The 7,802-nt window shown below is 47.4% G+C and overlaps 1 annotated feature.

Annotated features, from left to right (window-relative positions):
- Positions 3,577 to 4,776: an enhancer, noted in NCBI's record as "BRD4-independent group 4 enhancer chr20:4306716-4307915 (GRCh37/hg19 assembly coordinates)". NCBI's record gives its function as "activates an origin of replication core promoter dependent on BRD2, P300/CBP, MED14 and CDK7 cofactors, and independent of BRD4, by STARR-seq in HCT116 cells {active_cell/tissue: HCT116}" and the evidence as "EXISTENCE:reporter gene assay evidence [ECO:0000049][PMID:35650434]".

Below are 7,802 nucleotides of genomic sequence, written 5' to 3'. Positions count from 1 at the left end.
GGAGGCCGAGGTGGGCAGATCACAGGGTCAGGAGATCGAGACCATCCTGGCTAACACAGTGAAACCCTGTCTCTACTAAAAATATAAAAAATTAGCCGGGCGTGGTGGTGGGCGCCTGTAGTCCCAGCTACTCAGGAGGCTGAGGCAGGAGAATGGCATGAACCCGGGAGGTGGAGCTTGCAGTGAGCCGAGATCGCGCCACCGCACTCCAGCCTGGGGGACAGAGCGAGACTCCATCTCAAAAAAAAAAAAAAAAAAAAAGAAGCTCTGCTTTCATGAATGGATCAATCCATTTATAAATTAATGGATTAATGGGTCATCGTAGGAGGGGAACTGGTGGCTTTATAAGAAGGAGGAGAGAAACCTGAGCTAGCACGCTCAACCCCTCACCATGTGACGCTCTGCAAAGAGAGTCCCCACCAGCAAGAAGGCTCTCACCAGATATGGCCCCCAACTCTGGACTTCTCAGTCCCCATAACTGTAAGAAATAAATTCGTTTTCTTTATAAATTACGCCAGTTTCAGGTGTTCTGTTATAAAAATCAGAAAATGAACTAAAACAGTAACTACAGTAAACACAAGCCAATTGCATCTTGCGAGTCTCATTGCCAACTTGAATCATAACCATAATCACAGCCAATAGCATCACCATCTGAACACAATCAGGGCCGGTTCTCTAAGTGCTAAGCTGCTCCAAGGGAGGCACCATAGTCCAAGAAGAGGTTGTTTCTTCCCCACCTGACCACTGGCATCTACAGCCCTGCCTGCAGCTATACAGGGAGACTTTTCCCAGCTTTTTTCCCGGAGGGGAGTTCCCTGGAGTGAGTCCCATGACTCTTGTTTTCCTTGCAGACTATACAGAGCCAAGCCTGGGAATGGGCACCCAGCCTCTCGCTGACTGCCAAAGAGACACCCCTGGCTGATTTGGTCTTAGGAAGTGTTCTGCAGAAGGTACAACCTCCACTCACCGAGAAGACAGCAAACCTGTTGTGGTCTTCAAAATGAACATCTTCTCTTACATATGCTCAGCGCTTCACAGTTTGCAAAGCACTTTTACATTCATCATCAATGGGATCCATCCTAAATAATGTGAGGCATCTTTGTTCTGGTCTCTCTTGCTGCCTTAGGCAGCCAAGGAGGGAGTTTTCCAGGCCTCTCTTGCTGGTTGCTCTAAGTCACTGCACTTGCTCAAGCTGGCATGACACGTAGGAGGTCATGGTGAGGTTTGGAGGCTTCCTGGTCTCCAACCTCAAAAACGTTCCAGGCTGCCAGCTTGATCTTGAGAGGAGAGAGGCAAACCAAGCCCCAGCGTCAATAAGCTGACATCTGAAAGGGCAGGATGGCTACGATAGTTTACAGCCTTGAGAAATGAACTTAGCTCATGTTGTTATCAAGAAATGCCACAAGGGGACCCTGGAAATTTCGGCAGTAGTTCAGCCTCTCAGCTGGCAAGACAGCATCTAGGGAGCCTGGACCTCCATCTGCTGAGCGCCATCAGAGCCAAAAAGCAATGGGAGTAGCACAGACACAACTGTGATTGTGTGTGTTTGTGCATGTGTGCATACACAAACATGCACACAATTATGTGTGTTTATGTTTATAAGTGAGCCTGAGTGTGTATATAAGCATGTATGTACGCAAGTTTGTGTGTGAATATATGTGTAAGCATGTGTGAGGTGTGTGTATGCATGCGCACGTGTGTGTGTGTGTAGGAGTCTCCAAAGGCCAACTTCAAACACACCTGAGACTTGAAAATCCAGTTGGTATTAGTGATAAGGAAAGTAAGAGACGGTCTCTCCCACCTTTAAAGGAGCAGACGAGGACCTTGGTGAGATCCTCAGCCCATGCCAAGATCAAGCCTGCAGCCCTTGCTCTTGGAGACCATCAACCCTGTGGGGGAGGTGGATACACCAAATAACTCAGATCTTAGGACTTCATGGGGACTGTTTCAGTTCAGAAACTGAGTCAGGGTGATGGAAGAACTTCCACAGGCGAGACTGTCCATGTGGCTGTCGGCCTGAGCCAGAGCTAATAGAATGTGGGAGAAGTCATCCTGCTTGCCAGGGACCTCTGACTGCTACTGAGTCAGCCCATGAGATAGCAAACAGGACAGAGATCAGGAGCATGAAAGGGTCCAAGCCAGGTTCTATGTGAGAGAGAATAAGAATAAGGCTCGGTGAGGGCTAGGAAGGCAGGGACATGCTGGCGGGAGGACTGGCAAGAAACTCCCAACTCCTGTGGACTCAGCCCCTCCAAGAGGTAGCGTGCCGAGGCTGGTAGGTCTGCTGTCTGTGGGCAGCAGTGACTACAGAGCCGGGGTTCTCAGCCTCCACCTCCCTGCTTTCCATCAGTCACAGCCTGGCAGGAAAAACCATAAACCCTGAGGCAAAATCGTCTCTAACATTGTTGGGTGGTAATACGAGAGTTCAGGGCCTCCTCCTGGACTTGCAGCCCACCCTCTTCTCGCACAAGGCTCCACCCACACCATAAAGGGGTTTCACACGCACACATGCTGACCACTGAGCCTTCAAGTCCAAGCTCTGTTCACAACCCCTCCTTCCTGGGAACACTTACCAGTGGCTCACTTTGAGAGGACAACCCCAGAGGAGATGCCCACACAGGACATGGAAGTGGGCTGAGGCCTTTAAACAGGGAATTCCCGAGTCCTGCATATCCTGAGCATGGCTGGGGTGGGGAATGGAGGCGGCAGGGTGGCCTGAACTCCTGGTGGGCAGTTCTCCTTGGCACAGTGCAGGAGGGAGAAGGGAGGTCCCTCTAAAGCAGAGCTGCTCAAATGGGATCCACAAAGCAGCGCCAGTCCAAGAGCTGTTTGTTATGGGCTGTAAAAGGAGAGGGGTCTCACTGTTATCTAAGACTCCTTCCAACTATCAAGTTCATAATTTGAGGTTCTTTGTGCTTCTGGTCTGAGATACTGTTTTAGGACTAAGCCTGCAGATTTAGTATACCAAGAAATGCAGTGAAACTTTCAGATAACACGGGAGGCCTCACAGAATGCCGCCCACCCCAACCTACTTGCAGCAAATTGCATTTGCTCTTGTGGGCCACCCCACATGTTAATTTTCCATCATTCTGAACAACTTTACTGTCTTTGTTAGGTCTGAGCCATCCACGTTTATTTGTATTTCCAATGCCCTTGGGAAGGATAGTATATTAAGTATGTGATGGCTCCATGACTTAAAAAAAAAAAAAAGTGGAAATCAATAGGCTTGTCTATGAACAAAGGGTCCTGGGAACCACAGAGAGAGAATCAAACAGGGATGGACATGCTCTTGACAGGGAGGCCCAGGCTGAGAGGAGGAGACAGCGGGGTCCAGGACGGGGGGCAAATAAGAGTCATGGAATATTCTCAGCACTGTTCACACTACATTGCACCAGCAGTGCTGCTCTGCTGGGCCCAGGCATTCCTCTGACCTCTGCTTCTTTGCTTTCAATCCTTTTCCCTGCACCAAAACTTATCTCCCCAGTGTCCCATCTCTCAGCCACTCAAGGTTCTCTCTCTCTGCCACTGACTGACGGTGAAGGATGCAAATGGCCTAACCCAAGATAATGTATGATCAGCAGTGTAGGGCAATGACAGAGCACTGGGCACGGCACTTGGAGGACACAGCAGAGCTCTATTCCCTCCCCTCCAATGGCCTGGTGGGCCACTGTACTGTTTGTAACAGTGGTAGATTGCAAAAAGGACCAAAAGTTGTTCCCCTCCTTGTATCAACACCCTTGCAAAGTCACTTTGCTGCTCTATCAAGAGGTAAAGTCTTCCTCCACCTGTTGAATCTGAGCTTAGCTGTGTGACTTGCTTGACTAACAGAACAGTAATAAATGTGATGCAAGAAGTGACATGAAAAGTGTTCATGCATTAGAATTTTCTTTCTTGCTGGTCTTGGGAAACCCACAGCTACCACTCTGTGAATAAGCCTAGGCTAGCCCTCTAGAGGATAAGAAATCATGTAGTTCAGCCACGCCCATCACACCAGACAACAGCCAGCCAATCACATCATGTGAGTGAGGCCATCAAATATTAGTGACAAATGAGTGACTGAAGACATAGGAATGTGCCCAGGTGAGAGTAGAATAAGAATTACTCAGCTAAGCCTGGTTAATTATCAACTCATAGAAATTATGAACTAAGTAAATAGTTGTTGTTTTAATCCACTAAGTTCTGGGGAAGTTTGTTATGTGGCCATAGCTAACTGCTACAGTGACAAAGTTGCACTATCAATTGGAAAAGCAGAGAAGCATAGGGGCAGAGTCCTTGGATTGAACTTTCCATTACTCATGTGGATGATTCACTAACCCCTCAACCCACTCCCCTCACACTTTAATTTCCTCATCTGTAAAATGGAGGCAGAGTAACTGACTTTCTCAGATTGTGTTGCCTGTTCTTATGTGACCTCAGGGCGTTGTCTGTCCTCAATCCTTCAGGTTTCCTGTCTTGCAGCAGAAACCCCCTTGCCCCTACCGCCACTTGATCCCATGGGACTCCAAGAGGATGTGTGATTTCATCACAGCCCAAGCACCCCGGCTCCATGGCCATTCTGGAGAAGGGGGGATCAGAGGAGCTTGGTATTTAGTGGGTGTGAGTGTGGGAACAGTTTACATAAATTTAGAAAAAGCAAAACACAAACTTCTCCCCTGGGAAAGAGTAAGAAGGCAACACTCAGCTCCACTTGAAAGAAAAGTTTTTGAAGCAGGAACGTTTATTTAGAGAATAACTAAGCCCCTGAATCAACAAATTGGGAGCCTTATCTCTGAGTGTGTGGGTCATTCCGACTCTCCCTGCTCTGCTGGCCACCCTTGGCCAGGCTGGACCTCAGGGCAGAGGCCTCGGGCCAAAGGTGGCGGAGGAGGCTGGAGAACAAGGCCCTAGGGACCGAGCTGTGGGTCCTGCATGTGCTGAGAGTCACGGGTGAAGAGGAGAGGTGCCAGGGAGAGGGATGCTGCTGCTGCCCCACTGGCTTTTATTTTTAAAACTCCTTATCATTTCTCTGGAGCTTATTTTTCAAAAACAAAAAGAAAAGAGAAGAAAATGCCTGGGGTTGAGTGATGAAGCAGGCCTAGGCTGTGAGCCACTTTCATCCTTCTTTGCCTCCTGGGACCTCTGCCCCCACACGTCATTGCTCTGTACAGGCAAAAGACAGCATATTTTCTACTCTAGTTTACAGATTTTTGGGGCCTGGCCAAATGCAGGTAGGAGTCGTTGAAGTAAACCTTATATTGTAGAAGTTAGATTAACTCAAATGGTAAACACAGGGTAATTACACCATTTTCTGAAGAATTTATTGTTTGACCAAGGGACCAGATATTCTCCCTCTTTAATGGGATGACAAGAGCACCACATTAGACACTGAAGATTTTACTAAGATGAATCTACTTTTTGGAGCCTATCTTGGGGACCCAAAGCAAGAGTGTCAGCTGGCAGCAGCACACAGGGACAACAGCTAAGAGGCACTAGGGGTCTATAAGACCCATCTCCAGGGAAAAGTTTAGTGGGCTCTGGCAAGAACCCTCTGTCTATAAATCCCTTCCCAACCTGCTTCCTAAACCACCCTCTGAGAGACTTGCCATCCTACTTACAGGGAAAGACCTCTGTCTTATTTAGGCTCCACCAAAAGCAAACCCCAAGACAAGGATTTTAGAGCAAGTTATTTATTGAAAGTTATTCTGGTAAATACTGATAGGGAAGTGGGGAAGTGAAACGGGGAATAGAAGAGAAAGTAGTCAACACAGTGTGCTAACCAGAAAGTTATTGCTATTGGGCAACTGGAGCCCAAATACACTGGGGAACTCTGAGGATAATGTAGAACATGACAGAGAGCTCTCCCACCCAAGCGGCTAGGAAGCTGGGGTATTTATACACCAACTTCCACTTGCCATTGTTGAGAATTACTCTGGTAGGGTGGGAGTTAATTCTCCAGTACTTCCAGCTGCAGGGGATGAATGTACCTCAGCTTCCAAAGAAAGCCCTTAGGCAGAAAGATTCAGGAGCTGGCAGCTAAAAGTTGTAGGGCCTGCATGTACCTCAATGGTATGACCCACGATCATGGACAGCGCACCAGCAGTGTCTGTCGCATCCCACTTCCTTAGAGAATTCAAGGGAGAAAGAGAGACAAGGATGGGAGAACATAAAGAGCCCAAAAGTGAGGTGGCTAAAGATGAGTGTTGGCCCCTTCCCAGTGTTCTTGTAATGCCTGTCCAAAGCTGAATCTATGGGACACAAAATCACTAAAAGATTTTTCTGTGCCATCAGCAGTAAGATATTAAAATATAAGTAAAGTATTCAAAGCCATAGACCAACCCCACCCACCCCACCTACTGAAGGGAGAGATTTATTTCAGAGAATTGTTACTGAACACCAGGGCTTCAGTCTAGGTCCCATTGTTTGCCACACAGAAAGCCAATCACTGAGACAATGCTATTGTCAGGAAAGAAGGGATTATTATATCACAGGTGATGTCAGACAGGAGCCAAACCTCAAATCCATCCCTCCTCCCTGACTCAACTTAAAGGTTTATACAGCCAGAAAGGAAAACAGAAGGGCAAGGAAGAGGAGTTGGCCAACAGGGAGCAGGAGTTTTCATTGTTCAAATGTAAGTTTCTCAAGCTGCAGTTCTATAGGCTTTAGTTCTATGGGTTTCAGCTCTGTGGCTGGTTGGAAAATTGGGCCAGTTTCAGAATAAGGCAGGGAAGGATGAGGACACTGAAAACAGAAATGTCACTTTGGTGCAGGAGGAAGGGCACTAGACTAAAAGGCAAAGGCCCTGGGTTCCAGTTCTGACCCTTTTTTTACCTTACTTTGTTCTGTTTCTGCACCTCAGCATCCTCATCTGTGAAATGAACCCATTAGATGAGTCAGTTGATCCTTCAATTCTGCAAACACTGTATAGTCAGAGATCAATTGCAGAAAATGGGAGCTACTTGAACTGCATTAAGTGAAAATGGATCTAATCCAAGAAACTAAGAAAACTTTTGGAAAGGTTGAAAGAGCCATGACACCAAAAACAAGACTCAGCAACAACGCCCAAAACAACTCCGCAAGACAGTTGCTTCCTATGCCACAAACACAGGGACGCATCACCTTACTGGTGTCAGGGTCAGAAGTTTCCTGTGCAACCACCTGTTTAGAGCAAGGTCACACTCTGTAGACATCGACCAAAAAAAACATGGAACGTGGTTGTCCTGAGCCCTGCCTCTCAGCACCTATGAAACCAATGACCACCTACTAGAATGCACTACAGGAAACTCAGTGTTTCCATGGGCATTGCCTGCTTATCAGCAGAACCAATGAAAGCAACAGAAAGTTAGCCTTAATCCCCTTCAGAACCCTGGCTTCAGGGGCATCTGGCACATATGGATTTTTATTTTCCAGCCCCTTCATATTAAAAGGTCACTAGAAGGAAATTGGAATGGATGGTGAGTCCAGTGCACTGTGTCTACCCCAGGTGCTTTGTGCCAGGCACTGTACAGGGCACCAGAGATTCAAAGAAGCCCTAGACTCCAAGGAGCTTAGGGCCTAACTGTGTAGTCTAGAAGTGCAACACATTGGTGCTATTGAGAGTTAAAAGTCAGAACTCATGATGGAGCCTCAGTCATGAAAGAGCCCAAGGCAGGCAGTTGCCCCCAGAATGATAAGACAACGTAAAGAGAGAAAAAGTAGCTTGAAGCTATTCTTGAAAAGTCAGTCAGGGAGAGAAGCAATCTAAAGGGAAAGAAGAGTAGGAATAAAGGTATAGAGGAATCTGTAGTAATTTGAGAAACAGAGCAGAGCTGCATGATGTGCAGGGC

The sequence above is a fragment of the Homo sapiens genome, chromosome 20, assembly GCF_000001405.40.
Source record: "Homo sapiens chromosome 20, GRCh38.p14 Primary Assembly".
Lineage (NCBI taxonomy): Eukaryota > Metazoa > Chordata > Mammalia > Primates > Hominidae > Homo > Homo sapiens.
Note: the sequence above shows the minus strand (reverse complement) of the source record. Positions and strands in the feature narration are given on the sequence as shown.